The sequence below is a fragment of the Homo sapiens genome, chromosome 3 (assembly GCF_000001405.40).
Source record: "Homo sapiens chromosome 3, GRCh38.p14 Primary Assembly".
Taxonomy (NCBI): domain Eukaryota; kingdom Metazoa; phylum Chordata; class Mammalia; order Primates; family Hominidae; genus Homo; species Homo sapiens.
In genome coordinates this window covers 63,878,388-63,903,403 of record NC_000003.12, presented here as the reverse complement: position 1 = coordinate 63,903,403, position 25,016 = coordinate 63,878,388, and the positions used below count along the sequence as shown (strand labels likewise).

At 39.8% G+C, this 25,016-nt stretch overlaps 1 protein-coding gene across 5 annotated transcripts in view; it reads right to left on the bottom strand.

Annotated features, from left to right (window-relative positions):
* The window catches only part of ATXN7 (ataxin 7), a 140,319-nt gene that overhangs the window by 100,059 nt on the left and 15,244 nt on the right, over window positions 1–25,016 (bottom strand). For 4 of the 5 annotated variants that reach the window (NR_165270.1, NM_001377405.1, NM_000333.4 and 1 more), the window contains one exon: window positions 4,907–5,005. The gene's annotated coding sequence lies outside the window, so the exon portion shown is untranslated. Of the gene's footprint in view, window positions 1–953; window positions 2,846–4,906; window positions 5,006–25,016 lie in introns of those variants that run through there. The other variant, NR_165269.1, reaches the window with a different exon arrangement.

Sequence of the window (25,016 nt, the reverse complement as noted above, 5' to 3'; positions counted from 1 at the left end):
TTTTTTTTTTTTTTTTTGAGACGGAGTCTTGCTCTGTTGCCCAGGCTGGAGTGCAGTGGCGCAATCTTGGCTCACTGCAAGCTCCACCTCCTGAGTTCACGCCATTCTCCTGCCTCAGCCTCCGGGGTAGGTGGGACTACAGGCCCAAGCTCGGCTAATTTTTTTGTATTTTTAATAGAGACGGGGTTTCACCATGTTAGCCAGGATAGTCTCAATCTCCTGACCTCGTGATCCTCCCGCCTCGGCCTCCCAAAGTGCCGGAATTACAGGCGTGAGCCACCGTGCCCGGCCCACATGTGCCTATTTTTGTGAAAAAGTGGTGATGATGATGATGATGATGATGATGATAAGTCTATGCAAAAAACAATCTAGATAACTCTAGATTTACCATATGAGAAGCAAGGAGTTAAAGAATTAAAGATGCTTTAATTCTTTAAACTTAAAGGAACTTTTTATTAGCATATATATTTATATAATGTTTAGATTTTTTATCAACATAGTTTTATATTCAGGATGATTATTTTAAAAGATGATTATCCTTTTATAAAGATTTTTTTTTGAAGAAGAAACTCTAAACTAATATTGAAACTTTTGTGAGATTGTCACAAAACTCTGTTAGGTGAGTGGCAACGGCATGGACTGATAAAACTACAAGTCACTTCCTTTGCTTGAAACTTCATCTTTAGCTGGGATTCCCAGAGCACCAACCTCTCTTGAGTTTCCTTCTTCCTCATGGAGTATATGGTGCTATATTTATAGCTGCTAAACTCCTTAGCCAGTCAATATCTTTCAATATCTAGCCAAACCTTTTCCCACCCTTAGCATCCACCGCTCCCCCTTACAAAGACTCCACTCTAGCTAAACCACCTTCTCATGTCCAAGACATAAAGTACACATTTCTGAAAGTCTTTCTAAATGCCATTATTTTTTAAATACAACTCACATAACTGAAATTCACCATTTTCACCATTTTATTATTTATTTACTTTGAGACAGGGTCTCGCTCTGTTGCCCAGGCTCAAGTGCAATCCAGCTGGTGCAATCACGGCTCACTGCACCCTCAACCTCCAAGACTCCAGTGATCCTCTCACCTCAGCTCCCAAGTAGCTGAGACTACAAGCGCATGCCACCACGGCTAGCTAATTTTTGTACTTTTTTTATAGAGACGGGGTTTCAAATGTTGCCCAGGCTGGTCTCAAACTCCTGGACTCAAGTAGTCTTTCTGCTTCGCCCTCCCTAAGTGCTGGATTTACAGGTATGAGCCACTGCAACTGGCCTTTAACCATTTTAAGTGTGCAATTTGATGACATTTAGTACATTCACAGTGTAGTACAACCAACATTACTATCTAGTTCCAGAACATTTTCATCACTCCAAAAGGAAACCCTGTATTCATCAAGCAATCACTGCCCACATTCCCTCCCCAACCCCCGAAAACCACATCTGCTTTCTGTCTCTATGGATTTGCCTATTCTGAATATTAAATGAAACCACATAATATGTGGTCTTTGTGTTTGGTTTCCTTCATTTAATAAAACATTTTCAAGGTTTATCCATGTTGGAACATGTTATCAATACTTCCTTCTTTTTTATGGCTAAATAATATTCCACTGTGTTATACACACACACAATGGAATACTATTCAATCTTTAAAAAGAAGGCAATCCAGCCAGATATGGTAGCTCACAACTGTAATCCAAGCACTCTGGAGGGAAGGCCAAGGTGGGAGAAACACTTGAGGCCAGGGTTCAGGAGTTCCAGACTAGCCTAGGACACATAGCGAGACCCCTATCTCTATTTTTGTTTTTTTTTAAAGAGAACTCCTGTCATTTGCAGCAACATAGATGAACCTGGAGGATATTATGTTAAGTGAAATCAGCCAGGCCCAGAAAGACAAACAGCACACAATCTCACTTATATGTGGAATCTTAAAAAGTTGAATTCATAGAAGTAGAGAATAGAATGGTGGTTACCAGAGGATAGAGGTGAGGGGTTTAGGGAAAGTTAGTCAAAAGGTACAAAATTTCAGTTAGGAAGAATGAGTTCAAGAACTCAGCTGCAAAACATGCTTACTATAGTTAATAACAATGTATTGTATTCTTGCAAATTGCAAAGAGACTAGATAAAGGTTCTCACAACCAAAACATAAGTATGAGAAGTAATGCCTACGTTAATTAGCTATTAAATTAGTTAATTTAAGCCATTCCACAATGAATACATATTTTAAAAGAATACATTGTACATGATAAACATATCCAATTTTTACTTGTTAATTAAGAAAAAAAGGTAAGTGCCAATTCAATGGCAGGGATATTTGTCCTTTCGATTTACTAATTTATCCCCAGTGACCATAAGAGAACATAGCACATAGGTTGGCACCCAATAAATGTTTGTTGAATGAACAGATATCGGGCCTACAATCTGCTGCTGAGAAGGGATTGCCACATTAGATGGATCATGGACCGGATGGTTTCTCACAGTTCCACCTGGCTCACTTTATTCCCCTCTCTGGTCTCTCTGGCCTCTACAGACTTTTGAACTTGTGCCTCCTCTTCTTTCTCTGCTTCTTGGTCACTTACTTCCTGGCATCATATTAATCTTTTCATTGGTATAATATTCAAAAAAGCATTAGGTCATCACTGCAGTCCATGTAAATCACCTCCTATTCTTCTCCTTTTCCTCCCAGGGACAATCCCCATGCACACAGTAGAAACTCCATAAACAGGCACTAAAGAGCTCCTCTGGCATTCTGCCAAACATGTTTCCTCTTAACTTCTCCCCATACCCCTCCATTGTCAGTGATTGGACACCACACAGGAAAGCCTGTTTCTCTCTTCTCTGGCACCTTGCAGACATGATACAATGAACAACATTCAACGTGATGACTTCAACGATCACTGAAAGACATCTCTGCATTATGGCCCTTCAGCTTTAGTCCAGAACATTTTAAGAGGCTGTTTTTAAGGTGGAGACTTCATAGCTCCCCAAACTCTTGTTCTTTCAAACATCTCAACAGTACTAAAACACTTTTTGTGAAGTTGTTTCAGATTGGTAATGGTAAAAATATTATCTTTTACGTGTTGTCTGAAATGCTACCATTTTTGCTACAGTTGCCTAAAACCTGATTGTGGCATCACATTTGTTGCCTAAGTATGTAAGATAGTTGATTCCAGAGGCTGAAACTCCTTTCGTCTTCCTTGTTTCGATTCTGTTGTTTCAGTCTTTAATGACTCATCTTAAACTGCACCTTAACTTAAAGGTTATCTCATTCCTTTCAGAAGTAGGAGAATAATTTTGTTGTTGTTGTTGTTGCTTGTTTTTTAACATGGGGTCTTGCTGCCGCTGGGGCTGGTGTGCAGCAGCATCATCATGGCTAACTGCCGCCTCAAGCTCTTGAGCTCAAACCATCCTCCTGCTGCAGCCTCCTGAGTAGCTGGGACTATACACATGCACCACTGTGCTTGACTAATTTTTTAAATTTTTTTTAGGCCGGGCGCAGTGGCTCACGCGTGTAATCCCAGCACTTTGGGAGGCCGAGGAGGGCAGATCGCGAAGTCAGGAGATCGAGACCATCTTGGCTAACACGGCGAAACCCCGTGTCTACTAAAAATACAAAAACAAAATTAGCCGGGCGTGGCGGCAGGCGCCTGTAGTCCCAGCTAGTCGGGAGGCTGAGGCGGCAGAATTGCGTGAACCCAGGAGGCGGAGCTTGCAGTGAGCCGAGATGGCGCCACTGCACTCCAGCCTGGGCGACAGAGCAAGAAAAGGTCTCAAAAAAAAGAAAAAAAAAATTTCTAGAGTTGGGGGTGTAGCTATGTTGGCCAGACTGGTCTCAAACTCCAGAGCTCAAGCAATCCTTCCACCTCAGCCTCCCAAAGTACTGGGATTACAGGTGTGAGCCACTGTACTCAGCCCTTTTTGTTTTTTTAAATCAAAATTCCTCCAGGAATTTCCTGCTTCATATTATGTGAAACTTCACCACTATCCTCCCAAAACAGTAAATGTACAATGGTGGACATGCAGTGAGAAACAACATTAATGTGCCAGGCGTTGGTGGCTCATGCCTGAAATCCCACCACTTTGGGAGGTCAAGGCGGGTGGATCACTTGAGGTCAGGGGTTCGAGACCAGTCTGGCCAACATAGCAAAACTCCATCTCTACTAAAATACAAAAATTAGCCAGGTGTAGTGGTGCACACCTGTAGTCCCAACTACTCAGGAGGCTGAGGCACAAAAATCACTTGAACCTAGGAGGTGGAGGTTGCAGTGAGCCACGATCATGCCACTACACTCCAGCCTGGGTAACAGAGTGAGACTCTGTCTCAAAAAAAGAAAAAAAAAAAGACACTCCATTAATGATGGCTGCTATTTTTGTAATGATCAGAGACTACTCATTACCACAGAGCTGTCTGTCAGCCTGGGCAAAGGCAATGGGCCCAGAAAGTGTTCCTGAAGAACGCTTGCCTGTTTTACAGTCTTGCTGATGATCTTCCCTGCCCTAAGCAGCTGGGTCTACATTACATGGAAAGACAAGAAAACAGGAGCTGGGGGAATGGTGCTGGAAAGAAACAAGAGCACACTTTTGGATAACTTCCAGAAAAAAGTGGGTATAGACTGGGAAAGAAGGAGGATTCTATAACTAAAGTCTTCCTGCAATTTTAACAAATTTGGAGGGGATGTTATTTAGTAGTTTTTGTGTTGAGAAACAAATACCTAATAATATCATACTCCTAAACTCATTGTCATTTTATTTTTCTAAGATCATATTCAGGATTACATTTAACATTTGAGATCTTACACAGATGCCTTAAAATAAACTATCATCCTTTGGTAAAACTCAAACTCTATTATAACTGGAAGCATTATATTTATTCAACTGTGTTTGCGATATCAGAACAGCCAGTTACCTTTTCTTTGGAGGGTAGGCCAAAAATCCTGATCAATTTACCAATGGATCTTCATCTGCTGCAATTGTGAAAGCTCGTTCGTCTTAATTCTGTTCAGATCTGCAAAAACAGAAAAAAGGCAAATGGATGAAACAGTGGATGGACAAAGCTAATCAGAAACATACAATCTCATTGGTTGCCAGATATTCCAAAATTATATGTGCTTTGAGATGTCAAACTGTTAAATTTCAAGACATTTTACCAATTTTACTACAAATGTGATTTTTTTTTTTTTTTACAATGAACTTAATTGGCTATAGTTACAATAAACCAAGAACAAATGACTATTCAATATGTACACAGAGTTAGCCTCCTGGGGCTTAAAATCATTGTATATAATTTGCACTAATGAGTTTCCACTTAATTTTTAAAATGGCGATTCAGAAAGCCTGCTCCTATGAAACTTGTCAAATCACAGATTTTAAAAACACAGATTGAATGAGATTATTATCTGGAGAGCTCAAGCTGTCGTTCTTTATCATTTCAGCAGTTTATAAAAGCAATTTTTAATACTTCAACAGGTAACAATTCAATTAAACCATCTTATTAAAAAGCACAAGGAAACTATGTGCTCCATTATCTTCATAGTTGTGTGCATATATTTCAGGTAAAATGTGGTAACTTTTTAATTAATTTGTGGAGGAGCAATGAGTTAAGGAGTCAATAAATTACAGATTAACAAACCAAAGTTAGAAAATAAGCTGGTCTTCAAATCTCACATGCAGCAGAAGAGAAAAAGCGACAAATATGGGCAATGACACAGCTATCGGGCAGATGTTGTCAAGGTATAAAGCACAAGACAGGCTGAGCTCACATGAAAAATTCACTACTCATATACTTCTCTCCCTATAATTCTCACTGGCTATAAAGCAAGATGTGGAGGAGGTAATAGTGCTTTGCTCAACTTTTATTTATTTTCATGTACTCTAAGATGGTAACCAAATATTCCTATGGCCTGAGATCCTAAGATACAAATAAAGCATCTCTGAAAATCAGTGGCTGAAATTATATGCCATGTTTTGAACATTTACTCATAATTATCTTTATTAGGTTTTAAGTTATTCCCAGGTCATACTGCTTCCCTCTCCCTTTTTAAAAGTGTCAATTTTATTCACTCAAAATGCTATTCAGTAATGCTTAAAATCATTCTCACAATCTTTATAAACCAGATGTTTCTCTTCAGATTTCTAATTCCTTCCCAGTCTCCTTTCTTTTAAAAAATTTCTCTGATTTCCATTTTAGTGCTCCTTTTCTGCCTTACTTCCAATAAAAGCTGTTTTCTTGTTCAACATGTCTGTCCTGAGCCAAAATGCATTTCTTTGAATCCTAAATACTTTATAGCTGTGCAAAAATCATTCAAAGCTAATTACAAATTGTCATGATAGAGACAGTCAATAAAGATGTTATGTTCATGATAAGCATTCACCACCCTGATGGTGATTCCTTCAGAGTAGACAGAAGGTGAAGGCAGAACAACACCAGCATCAGATTAGACTCTGCACTTGATCTTATTTCACTAGGTCAAGCCATTTTTCAATTTTCCATCTGGACACTGCTGCTATTTCTCCAAAGTATCCAAGGAAGTCATCAGATTCAGAATACTATGAAATCTCCTTCAGGATAGTTTTGGTTTTAAAAGAATTCATCACTTACTAGTCACATACTGTAAAAATGCTTTATAGGAAATCCAATTCTTAGAGAAAAATGATAGTTGCAGTTACTAAAAATAAACATTTAAAAACAGAAACTTCTCTACTTAGAATAGGGGTCAAGAGCCTTTCTTTAGTATGGGAAAAAACCTATTACATGCTTGTATGTTTTCTCTCATTTGATCTTCCAATAACCCTGTGTTCAAAAGAGCTGTTACTATGATCTCCATTTTACTACTGAAGAAACAGATTGAGGAAGGTCATAATTTGCTCAAGATTACCTAGCCAACAAGTGGTGTGAAACTGTAACTAGAATCCGGGCCTTTGGTGATATTTAGTTCCCTTTCCAGTACACCAAACTGCCTCAATGGCAACTTAATTTTGTTTTGCAAAGAGAAATAGTTAAAAAGAAATCATTTTAAATAGACTTGGAAAATTTTCTTAGAATCATTAAACTTGATACCTTTTATTCATGCAACAACTACTTTGTAATAAGCATTCAATAAATATAATTTTAAAAAAGATGTATTTAAATGATGGCCAGTTAGCAGTGGGAGAGAAAGAAAGAAGACCTAACTTGAAGCATAAATTTATTTACTTTTTTTTTTAAGGGGGAGGGAGATTATAGAAGATATCTTTATCCTACAGGAGCTCCCTAGCCTATGTTGACCCTTTTTTCTAAGCACTAAGTAATTCTCAACTCCATGCCAAGTCATACTTGTACTATGGGGCTACAAACTACTTACTCCCATCTTTGTCAAAGCTGGACACACGACACAAACTGAGACAGTCAATGTGTTCTTCTTAGAACGAGAAATTGAGATGAAGAGGGTCTAGTTTGGTGGAGGCTGCAAGCTACCTCTAAGTGCTCTCTCAGTCTATAGGAAAAAGACAGTCAGCAAAGAGAGAATGAAAGAATGAATGTGCTGCTCAGAGTGAATCTGACCCAAGAGGCCACTTATCTCCCGTTTCCCCCAGGAGAAAAAACAAGAAAGAGAGAGAGAGACACAGAGAGAGAGAGAGAGACAGAGAAACAAGAGAGAGACAGAAAAGAGAGAAAGAGAGAGAGAGAGAAAAGGAGAAAGGAAGAAAGGAAGGAAGAAAGAAAGAAAGAGAGAGAGAATCTCTGCCTGGGAGTGTTCTTGGGCTTTCCTGTTACTGCCATAGCCCCTGAGTGGCCCAAAGCACTTCCTTCCCTAGGTTCCCTAGGGTTCTAAGAATCCCCTGGCATCTAGGGTAAGTGCCCCCGCCCCCACCTTTTAATGAGCTTATTTTTTGGAACTGATTTGTGATAACTGCAACAAAAAATGATCTTGTCCAAGATAGTAAAAAAACGTATTTTAAAAGTAGAGCTATCACCAGAATGTGTTATAAAAGAATATACTGCAGAAGGCCGAAGGGTTCAGAAACACCCCATCATTCCTTTTAAACAGAGAAAAGCCTACAATGCTACATGGGCAGTGTTATATTGGCTTTTACAGGGAAAATGGCTTATTTTCTAGGAGTAACATTTCTGTGTTCTGTTAAGATTCAGAACTTTGTTGCAATTTAAGGCATAATCTGAATCACCTCGTTATGTCATCCAGTGTGTCAAAATTAAGCACAAACCTACTAATCACAATAAACGAAAGAAAAAAGGCTAAACCAAGTCAGTCTTGTTTTTAACAGTATAAACTTAAATTCTTAACTTCTAGGCAAAATCGCCAAGCTTTAACGTGAGACTGCCACCCTAGGTTCTTGGAGAGGGCATAACAGGGAAGAAAAGGAGCCAGAGAAATTAGTCCTACAAGGAAAGCACAAAGAGTTGTGATCTTATAAATTCAGAGCTTGTTGGGGGAGGAGGAGGAGGGAGAGAAAACAACAACAAAAAAAACAACCTGAAACCTTGAAGGCTGACTCCAATCTCTCCATTCTAGATATGTAAAGACTGAAAACCAAGAGAGATTTATCTCAGCTGGTTTATTTATTCAATAAAAATATGTTGAGGCTGGGGCACAGTGGCTCATGCTTGTAATCCTAGCACTTTGGGAGGCCAAAGCAGGAGGACTGCTTAAGTCCAGGAGTTCAAGACTGCTTGAGGAAGGGTGAGACGCCGTCTCTACAGAAAATTTTTAAAAACTAGCCAGGCATGGTGGTGCATGCCTGTAGTCCCAGTTCCTCAGGAGGCTTAGGCAGGAGGATCACTTGAGCCTGGGAAGCTGAGGCTGCAGTGAACCATGATCATGCAACTGTACTCCAGCCTGGGGCAAAAGAATGAGACTCTAACTCAAAAACAAAACAAAACACATTGAGAATGTGCTCCATGCCAAGTACTGTGTCTGGCACTAGAATTGGCAGTGTTATTCAGCTGAGCCACCTAACTCCTAGGCTGTGCATTTTTCTCTCCATCTTGATACTCACTGCAAATGGAAAAGTCCACAGGCCTAAAATAGCCCACTTTTTTGTTTTCCATGGTGATCTTGGGGAAAACAATATGACTTTGTTGTTAATATTTAAAAGGCTGGAAGATTCATATAAAATTCCAAACTCCTGGTTTCTCTGGGAAAAATCTAAAAATCTGGCCACAGGGGCCAACTTTCCTGGAGGGGGATAACTGAATGAAGCTGTGTTGGGAGCTGCCCTTTGTCATTTGGCATGTAATTTCCAAAGTACTCAGCTGGCTGCATCACTTATTTTCCTTTCAGACCTGTCTCCTGTAGGTAGCCATGCTTGTGTCCCCAAAACTATACTGTCTTCCTAATCTTTTCTTCCAAATGAAAATCGACCACCCAAACCCAAATTTCTTAAGCAGGTTACAAAAATGTTTAAACCAAGTTATATATAAACTGCAGTCATATTCTCCAGAAATACAAATTAATATGGCATCTAGTTTACTCCCTCTCTTTGGACCCCAGTTCCACCTTGCTTTCACTCTCACAGGCTTTCTCCTTGGCAAAGCAAATTTAAGAATGAAACTCTATACACAACCTCTTTTTTCAATGGTGCTACTGTATTCCCCTCTTCAAGGGTTAGAGAGTTTTTCTACCTGCTGAGCTACAGCCACTGCTCAGAGTTACTCCACTGAAGATCAAGTCAATGTGAAAACACACAAGTGGAGAGGGAGCCAAGGCCAATTGTGAGGAAGGGCTCCAGTAACTCTGGCCTGGGTTTCTTGAGTACATTTCAGCCACTGCAGTCAGTCCTAGGGCTTTCTCAACACTTCGTAGAACGCCTCATGTGGAGTCTTATTTTTAAAGGAGCCTCCATTTTCTAACAGCTTCTATTAGTATATACCTACACAATGTTCAGTCCCTCTGCTCTCTCCAAATATGTTCAATATAGCCATCCTTCACTCTTTTGCCATTTCAGGACACACAGTTCTCCCATCTTGAGCCTATCTCTCCCAGGCTTCACTGAGGTTAACTAGGTTCCCTCTTCTTTTAGCAAAGAAAGGTCAGCAAGGCATTTTTCTATCCATTATTTGTGACTACAGGGCACCATTTCACCATTAGCTAAAAGTAAAATATAAAATTCCCAGTAATTCTCCAATTTGTCATTGTGCAAAACCCTGATCAAGTCAGTAGATTTGAAAGTCAATTTATAAAAGCACATGACAATAATAATAGTAGTAGTAGCTGACATTTACTGAACACTTACCATGCGCCCAGTAATAAAAAGTAAGCCTTTTACATGCATCATTTCACTTAGACCTCCCATCTATAACACAGGAACTCTTTCTGTGCTCCTTTATCAGAAAATTGAGGCTTGTGAGATGAGGCCAATAAAAGCTGAGGTAGTGCATGTTAGAGTTGAGCTTAAAACCATTCCCTCCACTGCAATACACCACAATTCCCACCTGTTTCTCCACACCTGTTGTTCATGCCTCCTTGAACTCCTTTCTTACTTTCCAAGTAACTCACATCTAGACTTCAAAACCCAGCTCAGATGAAACCTCATCAGGTCATCATGCCTACTGCCCTAGGTGGGCTTCCTGGAGGCTGGGTCTGCAACATTTCATTCTTGTATCCCTAGGGCCCAATGTTGTTAAGTGTTAATAAATGCCTGATGAATTGAATTGGATAAAATGGAACCACAGGTCCTGACGGCTACCCAGCCACTCAGGTTAATATGTGCCTGGAGTGGGATGCTATTGCCTTGCTAAGAACCCGCAATTAGGCCAGTGGAATAAAGAGCTGCTCTGGCATTTACCTTCACTCTCACCAGGCAAACTCACCTATAGACATCAATGCTAAGGAAGGGAGAAGGAGGGATAAGAGGCAAATTAAAGTCCAGTACTCCGGTTGACAGGAGTTGGGGTGTGTGTGTGTGTGTGTGGGTGTGTGTGTGTGTGTGTGTGTGTGTGAAGGAGCGATAAGAGGCAAATTAAAGTCCAGTACTCCTGTTGACAGGAGTTGGCGGGTGTGTGTGTGTGTGTGTGTGTGTGTGTGTGTGTGTGGTAGAGGTGTCTTTAAAGTTGACTGGGAGGAGGAAAGCCTGGGGAACAGAGAGAGTTTGTTCCCCAATAGTCTACCAGGGGAACGTTAATCTCCTATGACTGGCCTGGGGTTACAAAATTCTAAAATTCATATATGTGTCCTCAGTCAAGTCATTCTTTGCTAGTCTAGCATGGTCCCTTAGGATAGATGTTAAATAAATGAACAGCTAGCACGCGTTTTACTCTGAGGCCATACTTATCAACACTACCAATAAGAACAATTTTCGCTGAGTGCTTAACTTGGATCAGACCCTCTGCTAAACTCTGTACATGCACTGTCTTGTTTAATCTTCACCACAGCCCTACAAAGAATACTTGTAAGTGAGGAAATGCAGGTCTGTAACAGATAAATGGCTTCCCAAAGGTCACTTACCAAATGACTGACAGTAAGGGCAGTGGCTAGTGGGATAAATGTAGTTTTCATTAATAATGCTCGTACAGTTTTTAATTATTCTACCCACCTCTTTAAATATTACCTCCTAAATACAGGCTGAGCAGCACACAACAAATTTCACTCTTCTCTAAAAGATCCAGGGAAAATGCTTCCACTTCTACTAAGCCTTTGTAAATACTATTTGTGATAGAGATCGCCAATAGTCACCTATATTTACATTCTCTGCCTGAGCACATAGTTTGCCTAAATTTCCCAATATTCATTGCAGTAAGGTAGAGACATGTGACTGAATCCAAAATGTGAACAAAAATGTTGTGTAAGCCAGGTGTGATGGCTCACGCCTGTAATCCCAGCACCTTGGGAGGCTGAGGAGGGAGGATCCCTTGAGGCCAGGAGTTCGAGATCAGCCTAGGCAACACAGCGAGACTCCATCTCTATGAAAATTAAAATAAATAATTAGCCAGGTGTGGTGTCTCACACCTGTAGTCCCAGCTACTTGGGAGGCTGAGGCAGGAGGATCACTTGAGCCCAGGAGTTCAAGGCTGCAGTGAGCTATGACTGTGCCACTGTACTTCAGCTAGTGCAAAAGAGCAAGACCCCATCTCTTAAAAAAAAAAAAGTGCTGGGGCCAGGTGCAGTCGCTCGTCGCTCACGCCTGTAATCCCAGCACTTTGGGAGGCTGAAGTGGGCAGATCACTGAGATCAGGAGTTCCAGACCAGCCTGGCCAACAAGGTGAAACCCCATCTCTACTCAAAATACAAAAATTAGCCAGGCGTGGTGCTGCGTGCCTGTAGTCCCAGCTTCTCAGGAGGCTGAGGCACAAGAATCACTTGAACCCGGGAGGTGGAGGTTGCAGTGAGCCGAGATGGTGCCACTGCACTCCAGCCTGGGTGACAGAGCAAGACTCTGTCTCAAAATAAACAAATAAATAAAATAAAATAAAATAAAATAAAAAAAGAAATGTTGGGTGCCACACTTCTGGGCTAGGCCCATACAAACCTCTCTGGCTTGAGCTTCAGTCTCTCCTACCCTCTGTTGGTCAAATGGAAAGGGCTCCAAGTACTTACAGGAGGGCAGAGCCACACAATTTCACTCCTGAATGACTGGGGGAATCAACACACTCTGAGCCTCCTTGCCAACACACTCTGAGCTTAAACAAGAAATAAACATTATATTGTGTTAAGGCACTGGGGTTTTGGGTCATTATAGCAGTTAGCCTACTCTTATAAAGTATTCTTACTATCGTCATAATTTTCATTACCAACAGCAACCGCTACAATTTATTGAAGGTATACTAAGTAGTAGGCATTATATTAAGTCTTTTATATACATTATTTTATTTACTTCTACGAGGTAGCAAAATCATACAGATAACAAAATCAAGGGTCAGAGATCAGTAATCATTTCCTCTTCTGAATATTAAAGCATTTACAATCTGAAAGATTTCAAAAATAATTATGTAATGCCCTGTTATACATGTTACATTGATGGGTTAAGCAGTTTAAGTCCTGTAGTTAGTTGATATTTTCCTTTAACTCAAAACTTGTTTCCCTCATTTGGATAAACAGCTAAGAGGAGAGGGGCTGGGTCTTACATGTCTAAATTCTGTATCATTTTACACACTGTCTCATGAATATACAAATTAATAGATATAATTATATTCTTTAAACCATTTCTCACAGGCATATATGCACTATGTCTCACTCTTTCTCTACTGTGTTTTGGTCAACAAACCCCTTGAGTAAATCTGACCAAGAAAATTGGCTTGCTACAAACAGTTGCTTAGGATGCTGTTTATTTCAGATCCATAACTTAATGAGTATCATTAATGAAATTTTTCAATACTGCAGTTACATGCATGAATGAACATAAACACTTAGCAAAGTGGCTGGCATATAGCTGATGGTCAATAAATGATTGTTTCCCTTCTCCTCTATCCCAATAGCTACTTTAAGTACAATCATATGCTGCTTAAAGAAAACAAATGTGATCAAGGGAAAAATGTTAAGCTGGTAAGTAGAGGATGATTTTAATTACCAGGAATATTTTCCCAACTGGGAGGAAGACTATCTAAAATGTTAGGAGCTAGGGCCAAACAAAAATCATTTGCTAGTTGCAAGATTACCCTATTCATAAAAATCTGTCCTGACACAACCTCAGGAACATGAATTCTGGAGAAGCTGAGGAGCCAGTGCTTATTCACTGCCATGTGCTGCAGAATGGTATCCTGGGATTCACTTTCTATTTGCTCAGTGCTATAGGTTTGACCATGTGGCATTCCCTAGAGCCATGGTATCATTATTTGCAGCCAAACACTAACATGCCCTCCTATAGATCCTAGAATATTCTCCGTATTTTGTCAGAAAATAGTATACCAGCATCTGAAGATTTGATTTTTCTGAGGCTATTTCTAGCCCTTGCCTATCCATAGAACTCCATTTCCTACTTAAGACATTCAAAGAAGCTTAACATGATGCAGACACTTGATTTCGTATGGTGACATTCCACAATTCTGTGACATAAGCTTTGCATTAGTTAATTAATGTAAATATTTCAACTGCTGTTCATTTAAATATCATGTTCCAAAAAGTCTCTCTCCTTTGAAGATTTCAAGATGAAATGGAGTACAAATATGGTCAGTTACTTTATTTGGTATAAACATTGGGACTTCTTATTCCTGCTCTTCATCAATTGTAATATCTACTTTGTTGATAGGATGGACTTTTCCCAGGGTAATTTTCCCTTTAACATCAAGGTATCATCCTTAACAGCAGGCAATAAGGTTAATGCTATAATCAGCTATTACGTCGGCATATTCGACTTTAGCTGCTGTTCAAATATAGCAACACAGAGTATGGAACACCCAAGCTAGAAATATATGGTCTTAAAATTAGTGAATCAAACTCTGGGTAACAACTTTAAAAAAATAAATATTCGTTTAAAAATTTTATCATATTCTTTTAAAAATAAAATTCTTTTTAAAATGCTAAGTGAAAAAAGCCAATTTTAAAAGATCATATTTATGTAACATTCCCAAAATGACAAATTTAGAGTTGGAGAACCGATTAGCAGCTGCCAGGAGTTAGGGACTGTGAGGATAATAGGAATGAATGTGGCTATAAAGGGGTAGCACAAGGGAGATCTGTTTTTTTTAATTTTTATTTTTGATACGGAGTCTCGCTCTGTCGCCAGGCTGGAGTGCACTGGCACGATCTCGACTCACTGCAACCTCTGCCTCCCAGGTTCAAGCGATTCTCCTGCCTCAGCCTCCCGAGTAACTGGGATTATAGGCACTTGACACCACCCCCAGCTATTTTTGTATTTTTAGTAGAGACAGGGTTTCACCATGTTGGCCAGGATGGTCTCGATCTCTTGACCTCAAGATCCACCTGCCTCAGCCTTCCAAAGTGCTGGGATTATAGGCATGAGCCACTGCGCCCGACCAAGATCTTTTTAGTGATAGAATAGTTCTATATCTTGATTGTGGTAGTGATTACATGAAAATACACATGATAAGATGACACAGAACCATATATGTACTTTAAGCCAATGTCAATGTCCTGGTTTTAATACTGCACTATAGTTAAGACATAATAAATGGGAGAAACTGGGTGAAGAATAACCGAGACCTCTCTGGACCATCTTTGCAAATTCCTATAAATTTATAATTATCTCAAAATAAAAAGTTAAAAAATAGCCAAAACCATGTTGAATTATAAACATATTCCACAGAATAATCTATTCAATTCATATTATTAAATAATATCCAAGCCTCTGTAAAAATCTCTTATCATCTGACTTTCCATTTTGTACATAAAGCAACTACTGATTATCTTGATGGGAGAAGAAGGGAGTGAAAATAGAGGTTTTAGACTTGGTTTTGCTATCAGGATGCTTACTGTTCATAACACTGTCAGTAACAGAATATTCTGGCAGTCAATATCTGGGTATCTTACAAAGGAGTAGGTAGCACACAATATGTAAAAAATAAAAACACGTATTTAAAGTTTCCTTATATCCTAAAATCTGTAAGATTTTTCCATTAAAAAAAAAAAAAAAGAAGACAGAGGCTGAGGACAGCGATACACATCTGTAATCCCAGCACTTCGGGAAGCTGAGGCAGGTGGATCGTTTGAGACCTGCCTGGGCAACATGGTGAAACTCTGTCTCTACAAAAAAATACAAAAATTAGCTGGGTGTGGTGACACATGCCTGTAGTCCCTGCTACTTGGGAGACTGAGGTGGGAGGATCACTTGAGCCTGGGAGGTTGAGGCTGCAGTGAGCTGAGATAGTGCTACCATACTCCAGCCTGGGTGGCAGAGTGAGACCCTGTCTAGAAAAAATAATAAAATAAAATAAATAATAAAACAGAGATCCATCTAACAGATACTTTAAACATAATTTAAAAATGAAAAAATATTTTGAGGTTTCTATGTGCTAATCAAGATGTCACTGTGCTTATGTTTATACGTAATTTCCAAAATATATTATTAGACTTATGTGACTACGAAACAATAGACTTCTTAAAATGTATACATGGCAATAGTTTCTACACTTCAAACATCTCTCTGGCTAAATTAATACAAATTTTTGCAATGTGCCAATAATAAATAAGAGACAAAAAGAATTCCAGAAGCTGGGAGATGCAAATTAAACAAAGCCAGTGTAAGTCATTTCCACTAGGTTTCAGACAGAGATCTTTTATCACTGGTTGAAATATAACATTCTGGCACTACATCACAAACATGCCCCCTGATTCCCTGTATCTCACACCTAACGGGCTCAATACCAGTTCGTCATGACTCTGAATCTAAAGAGACATTGGCAGCACTTCATAAATACCTTCCTGTTCGCTCCTTTCTATGGTGATGCAATTTGACCTACATTTCCAGTGCCCATTGAAACTTCATGGGAGTGGGAAGATGAGAGTTTTTCATTTCTCCTACCCTCTGATTAACTAGGACAGCAAATGCCACTCAAGGGACTGCTACTGGGCAGAAGCAAAGGGGAAAAAAGTCATGCCAGTAGGAAATTCCACAGGAGGACATTTAGAAATACTGCATTCTCTGATTCTGCAAACAAACTGTCATGGCTTTATAAGACAACAGCAAGGAAGAACTGCCCCACTTTACACCATAATAAGACCAGAACACTAAGGACTATTTTATTTACCTCAGGCTCCCTACGGGATGAAAATTAAACTTGAACTATAGACTATTGTCCTTGCCATAGTCTTTTTTAAAAATAAACTTTCAATTTTGGGATGACTTTGAATTTACAGAAAAGTTGCAAAGATTATACAGAGAGTTCCTGTAAACCTGACACCTGGTTTTCCCTATTGTTAACCTCTTATGTAAGTATAGTATCTTTGTCACAGCTAATGAACCAATACCAACATGTGATTATTTATTTTCCTCCAGCTTTAAGGCATGAGTGACAAAATTGTACAGTGTAAATATGATCTTTTATGTATATATTATAAAATAATTAAATCAAGCTAATGAGCATATCTGTCACCTCATCTTTTGGGGGGTGAGAACATTTAAGATCTACTCTCAGCAATTTTCAAGTATACAGTATTATTAACTATAGTCACCATTACTGTGTAACAGATTCCTAGAACTCATTCATCCTAACTGAAACTTGTACTCTTTGATCAACATCTCCCCATTTCCCTCACCACTCCCCCAACTCCCAGCCTCTGGCAACCATTATTCTACTCTCTGCTTCTGTGGTTCAATGTTTTTAGATTCCACATGTAAGTGAGATTCCTGCAGTATTTGTCTTTCTGTGTCTGGCTTATTTCACTTAATATCCTCCAGGTTCACCCATGTTGTCAAAAATGAAAGGATTTCCTTCTTTTTTAAAGCTGAACAGTCTTACATTATTTGCATATATACACTGGATATCACATTTTCTTTTCCTTTTTTTGTTTGAGACCCAGTCTCGCTCTGGAGTATAGTGGCGTGATCCCAGCTCACTGCAAACTTCACCTCCCAGGTTGAAGCGATTCTCCTGGCTCAGCCTCTCAAGTAGCTGGGACTACAGGTGCATGCTACCATGCCCTGCTAATTTTTTGTATTTTTAGTAGAAATGGGGTTGCACCATGTTGGCCCGGCTAGGTTGAACTCCTGGTCTCAAATGATTCACCTACCTTGGCCTCCCAAAGTGCTGGGATTACAGGCATGAGCCACTGTGCCTGGCCTAAATATCACATTTTCTGTATCCATTCATCCATTGATGGATACCAAGATTGACTCCATATCTTGGCTATTGTGAATAATGCTGCAATGAACATGGGAGTGCAGATACCTCTGTGACATACTGATTTCCTTTGGATATATATGCAGAAGTAGGACTGATGGGTCATATAGTTCTTTTCTATTTTTAATTTTTTGAGAAACCTCCATACTGTTTTTCTTAATGGCTGTACTATAATTTACATCCCCACTACCAATGTACAAAGATTCCCTTTTCTCCACATACTAACCAATACTTGTTATCTTCTGTCTTTTTGAATAGCCATTCTAACAGGAGTGAGGTGATATCTCACTGTGGTTTTAACTTGCATGTCCCTGATGATTAGTGATATTGAGCATCTTTTCATATACCTGTTGGCCATCTGTACGTCTTGTCAATTCAGTTTCTTTCTCCTTTTTTAATTGGGTTATCTGTTTTGTTATTGAGTTCCTTATATATTTTAGATATCAACCCCTTATCAGATATATGGTTTGCAAATATTTTCTCCCATAGTGTTGATTGTCTTTTCACTCTGTTGACTATTTCCTTTGTTATACAGAAGCTGTTTTAGTTTGATGCAACCCCATTTTTCTATTTTTTGGTTACCTGTGCTTTTGGGGTGATATCCAAAAAGTCACTGCCCAGGCCAATGTCAGGAAGCTGTCTCTTTCCTCCCTTTTCATATTGCACTCTTTGGAAGGAAGTCACTAGGCACAGCTCAGACTTAAAAGATGGGCAGTGGGCTGGGCGTGGTGGCTCACAACTGTAATCCCAGCATTTTGGGAGGCTGAGGCAGGTGAATCGCTTGAGCCCAGGAGTTCAAGACCAGCTTGGGCAACATGGCAAAATCCCATCTCTATAAAAAATACAAAAAAAAAAAAAATTAGCTGGGCATGGTGGCACACACCTGTAGTTCCAGCTACTCGGAGGCTGAGGTGGGAAGACACCCTTGAGCCCAAGAGACAGAGGTTGCAGTGAGCTAAGATTGTGCCACTGCACTCCAGCCTGGGTGACAGATGGAGAACCTGATCCCCCCCAAAAAAATAAGAAAGAAAAAAAAAAAGATTGGCAGTGATGTTCCATCTCCTTGAGAGATGATTATCTGCATAAATCATTTGGAGTTCTTTTATATTAAAGATTTATCTATTCTCTCCCATTTGCTTATTTATCCAACCATTTATTTATACCAGTATGGCCTCATGGATATTTATGATTTTATATCACATATTATTTGTTTATATGTTTATATGAGCCTTTAAAAATATATATACTGTATATTTTATTTACATTTATTTTATATATTGGGTTACAATCTAATACTATGTTTTTTAGCTGCTCAAATTGTTCTAGGTTTGACCTTTGGGAGCTCTTTCAGTTGTCTCTTTGGTCCCTCTGACACACCCCATCATTGTGTGTGGAGAGAGAGAGAGTGAATGAGTGTGTGTGTGTGTGAGAGTATGTGTGTGTGTGTGTGTGTGTGTGTGTGTGTGTGTGTGCGCATGTTATTTTCTTACTTTCTGGAGCTAGAAGATACTACAGGCTCATATTGTTTATTCCCTGTCTCAGGCACAGAATCTCCTTTTAATGGAGAATGGTATTAGAAACCAAGATCTGGACACTGGGTCTTAATGTTTGACACTTTAAAATTTCTACATGAACTACTTCTATAGTAAATGAACAAAATTATCTCTTCAAGTATCTTCCTTTTGTGGCATAAAATAATAAATCACAAAAAGGATGCTTGGTAATCAATCAAGCTTGGTAATCAGGCTACCATCTGACTTTCAGGTTTGACAGGGTAAATAAATATCCTAATCAACCTCCCCCAGGAGAAAAAAATATTTTTTTTTCTGTTGTTGGGGGAAACAAGAAGAAATCTAGAATTAAATGCTACTTGTTTGCTATTCTATGCAATAAGGTATCCTATTTTCTCCCCTTAATACTAAATGATACTTCCTTGGTGTCAACTCTTAATTACCTGAGCTAAGGGTAAACAGAAATATCAATCAGATCTGGCTTTGAAATACACTCGTGATGACTTATGGCAGTTATACCTTCCTATTTATGTTTAAATAGAATAGTTACATAGGATTATTTAGGATAGTCACACCTATCTTATTTGCATATTTTAATGTTACAACTAGTTTGTTTTTTTTTTTAATTGGGAATAAATGAATCAGCTGAACACAAACACAGAGCCTGGAGCTTCTTGAGCAGCAGGGGTACCTAGTGGGAAGTGAACAGATTTCTAGAGATAACTAAATTGCCCAGACTGGAGTTAATCCCATGCAACACACACTGGACAATTCTTCACCTCAGCCTTCAACCAACCATTAACCTGCAATATTAACAAATGGACTATGCTAATAAAATCTCTGGTGACCTCAGACTTTTTTAAAGTCTGGGGCCAGGATCTAATACTGCTTTTCTCTATCTTTTTTTCACTTGGTCTGATTCAGATTTATATTCAATAAACATTTACTGAGCCTCTACTATCCACCAGGCAGCACACCATGCCTAGTGCTTCCAATTAATCCAATAATGAGAAAAAATTAAGGGCCCTGTTTCCATTTTTCCCTTCCAGCAGAACTGCTGAGGTTGATGGAAGGTAAGCCAAGCCTTTACAATGCTGAAGGCTCAACAAGTTTTGGTGTCCATGTCTATAGCTGTCTAATAACACCTTAGAAAGAAAAGACCTCAACCTTTATCTGTAAAATAGATACTGTATAATCAAACCTACTTCTCAGGAAGAATGCATGGAAAACACACTCCTGGCACACACCACGAGCTCTTTAAGTACTGGCTCATGTTCATATTATGCATTTCATCTATGTGTTCATCCTAAACACATCTAGGAAACACCAAAACTGCCTCACTAAGGTGTTCGTTGCCTTTTTTAATTGCCAGTTTTACTTTCTAAGATCCTAAAATCATGATCTTTAAAAATGTCAGCACCTATGTCCCAATCAACCTGTCTGATAAATAAACAACACATATTCATTTAAGAGGCCAGAGGTCAAGTTTGGTGGCTCACACCTGTAATCCCAGCACTTTGGGAGGCCAAGGCAGGTGAATTACCTTAAGACAGCCATTCAAGATCAGCCCGGCCAACATGGTGAAATCGGTCTCTACTAAAAATAAAAAAAAATTAGCTGGGCATGGTGGCACATGTCTACATTCCCAACTACTTGCGAGACTGAGACACGAGAATTGCTTGAACCTGTGAGGCGGAGGTTGCAGTGAGCCAAGATTGTGCCACTGCACTCCAGCCTGGGTGACAGAGAAGACTCCGACCCAAAAAAAAAAAAAAAAAAGAATCAAAGGCCAGAATGGATAGGTCATATTAAAAACAATAACCGTTAATGTTGCCTAAAAGTTCATTTTATACCATGCACTGTGTAAATGTTGCACGACAAGCTGACAAGATAGATATTTTAACTATCTCTAATTTCCAGATGAGAAACAGGCTAGAGAGGTGAAGTAACTTGTGTAAGGTTGCCATCCATCTGGGTTAGGGAATCTGTCCCCAAAGGAAAACAGTAACAGCAGCAGCAAAATTATACTGCTGCAACTAAACATAAAAATCCATTCCTCACCTCACAATGCTGGTTCCTTTTCAAACACTGTCACACTGGGTGCAGCAGAATGAAATTATTAGTTAAAATGTGTTCTTTGCTAGAGATGCAAACTGAGAGAAGGGCTTTGGATACTTCTGCCCCCAAGATGGACTCCAAATTGGGACTTCCTGCTTCCAAAGTATTTTCAACAAATAAAATCCATCAAGGACTCCCCACAGTGTTTAGCAGAAAGTAACTCCCTGGCCTAGCCTGGCCCAGCAGCCGGTAAGCCCCTTTACTTTACTCTCTGGCCCAACCTTATAGTTCTTAGCCCTGTAGAATGCTCCAATCAAGCGGCTGGGTGCAGTGGCTCACGCCTGTAATCCCAACACTCTGGGACGCCAAGGCGGGCAAATCACGAAGTCAGGAGTTCAAGACCAGCCCGACCAACATGGTGAAACCCTGTCTCTACTAAAAATACAAAAAATTAGCTGGGCATAGTGGTGGGCACCTATAATCCCAGCTTCTCAGGAGGCTGAGGCAGGAGAATCATTTGAACCCAGGAGGCAGAGGTCGCAGTGAGCTGAGATTGCACCACTGCACACCAGCCCAGGCGACAGAGCGAGACTCCGTCTCAAAAAAAAAAAAAAAAAAAAAATGCTCCAACCACAATGAACAAGGCCAGTTTCCAGCACACTGAAAAGTTCTCTTAGAGTATTTGCACTTCTGGCTGCTTCTAGACCCAACTAACTTCTTCAGAAATCAGTTTAGAGGTCACTTATCTCTTCAAATAGGCAGAGTTAATCCCATACCGATTCCCTAAAATGGTTTAGGAGATTCCAAACCTACTCCCTCCTCAACCTCAGCATTCTCAGCATTGGTACTACTCAATCACAAAAAGGCATGGCTAAGAGTAATCCATTTTTTTGAATTAAACAGACCAGAGTTTAAATCCTGTTTTCTATTTTCAAACTATGTGACCTCAAGCAAATCTTTTCACTTCTCTGATGGGGTTTAACTGAAAAGATAATGCAAGTAAAGCACAGTCTGGCACATACTAACTGCTCAATAAATGATAGCCATTATCATCATTATTCCCATTCTACAGATAACAAATTGCGACTCCAAGAAGCAAACCACTAAAGGTCACACAACTGGTGAGTAGTAGGGGTTGGGTTGAAAGCAGTTCTTTTTCCCTTTTTTGCAAGTATCTATTGAGCGCCATGCTCAGCACTGAGGAGACAGCTGTGAAACAGACAGCAATGAACGCTGTTCTCATGGTGTTTACTTCTAGTAGGAAAGAAAGCCATAAAACCTTTACACAAATAAATTGAAAGAGTGCTTTGAATGAGAAGGGCGGCGTGTCTGAATACACAGGGTTTTAAAGCAAGTAACAAAGTCACTGAATTTTGTCTAGAAGGTCAGGGAAGGCTTCTGTGAAGAGGTGGCATTTAAAGGAGGCAAAAAGGTATGAGGGAGATGAGGGTGGCAGCAAGCACCCCAGACAAATGAAATCTCAGTAGAAAAGACATTGAGGAAGAACAGCAAGTTCAAGGAACTAAAAAGCCAGAGCACTTGGTGAGACAGAAGATGCAGGCAGGGCCAGATCAGAGGACCACTGAAAGATCTGTTCAAAGTTTTGGATATCATCCTTCCTCTAGGCAATGGAAAGGCACCAAAAGACTGGCTGCCCTTAAGGAAACAGCAATGAAAGGCTCACTCTGACACCAACTCCTTGAGTCAGGGCTATCTGGCACTTTTTTCATCTGTACTTCTAGGACACGGCAACTGTAGACTTTTGATAAATATTTGTGACCTGTCTAAAAGAATCTCTGATAAAGACAGACTACATCACTTTTCCCTCTTTTTTAGTCCCACAGCTGATGCTTTTATTAAAGCACCAATTATTATAGGTAAGTGTGGACCTCTTTTCACCATTCATATTTACAGAGTAAATATTCATCTTCCCATTTCTCAAACCTCAAAACTCAATAAAGTTATGGACTAAAACAGACTCTCTTTTGATAAGCTAAAAATCTGTTCTTTTTTTCTTTTTTGATACGGAGTCTTGCTCTGTTGCCCAGGATAGAGTGCAGTGGCGCGATCTCAGCTCACCGCAACCTTTGCTTCCCGGGTTCAAGCAATTCTCTTGCCTCAGCCTCCCGAGTAGCAGGGATTACAGGCACGTGCCACCACACCCGGCTAATTTTTTGTATTTTTTTTAGTAGAGATGGGGTTTCACCATGTTATCCAGGATGGTCTTGATCTCCTGACCTCGTGATCCACCTGCCTCGGCCTCCCAAAGTGCTAGGATTACAGACATGAGCCACCGCGACTGGCCACATCTGTTCTTGTATTTCTAGATCGGTGGAATAAGAATCTTTTTGCTAATTCACTCTGCCTTATAAAGATCACCTGAGGTCCGGAGTTCGAGACTAGCTTGGCCAACATAGTGAAACCCCGTCTCTACTAAAAATACAAACATTAGCTGGGTATGGTGGCACACGCCTGTAATCCCAGCTACTCGGGAGGCTGAGGCAGGAGAATCGCTTGAACCCAGGAGGCAGAGGTTGCAGTGAGCCGAGATCGCGCCACTGTACTTCATTTAGCCTGGGTGACAGAGCAAGACTCTATTTAAAAAAAAAAAAAAAAAAACTGAAGAGATAATCCATAAGGACTTAAGTTGCACTTTCCTTTTGCACCTTAACCTTAATAATAAAAAACACATTTCAGCAATGTGTCATTAAAAGTACAAGTTTTATATTTTAAGATAAATCACTTGTACAGTTCATATGCATATTTTTTAAATGTTAGTTTAATTTTAACCAAGAACAAAATGCCCCAACAGAAGGTCTTTCAGTGATTTTCCAATTCTTCTGAGAACTGTTCAGATTCTCTCTTTGAATATTTAATTTCTCTGATAAGAGTAGGGTAACTCTTTGGGCTATTTATATTAAAAGATAGAACTGAGTCATAATCAATAGTTCACATGCTTTAAGGTTTATTTTGGGATTTCAGGAGATGAGGATGATGAGATAAAATGATGAAAGTGAAATTAAGAATATGCTATAGGGTATGGTATAATTTTGTCTGATCCACTTTCCACCCCCAGACCAACTTTCCACCATACTGGGCCCTGCTGAGTCCCAAGAGGCTGACCTCTATGGGCAGCATCATAGATTCACCTGCTGGCCAGCTTCCAGGTGAGTCTGGCCAATAGAAGGCACTGGAAAAAGATCAAAGAGCAAAGAAAAAAGTCAGAGAGGAGAATATTCCCTCCTTGTTCCCTCCCTGCTCTGGGCTCCCTTTTCTGGCAGTGGCTGAATGCCTCTAGTACTATAGCTCCTGTCTTAACAGCCCATCCACTATGGCACCAGCTCTCACTAGACTCCAGTAACACTATTTCTTCTCTTTGCTCCCTCAGATCTAGCAGTGATAACAGCTTGCCATTCCTATTAGTTTCTAGGTGACAGAAACCCATGTCATCCTGAACTCTGCCCGTCCTTCTGAAAATAATTCTTTCATTTAAAGTCTCTTAAACCATCTGAGTTGGACTCTGTTTCCTGCCAGATCTAAGAAAGCAAACCACACACCTGTAAAATCAGCAATCTCTCTCCTTTGCATGTGAGCAGTTATCACAATGGTTATTCATCTTGCAAATTAATTCCTTCACACCAAGCACTGCATGGGAGCAGAAACGACACCTTTTAAACTGGTCAGTGCAGGAGAATACTGAGAGTGCTCTTGAAAGACAG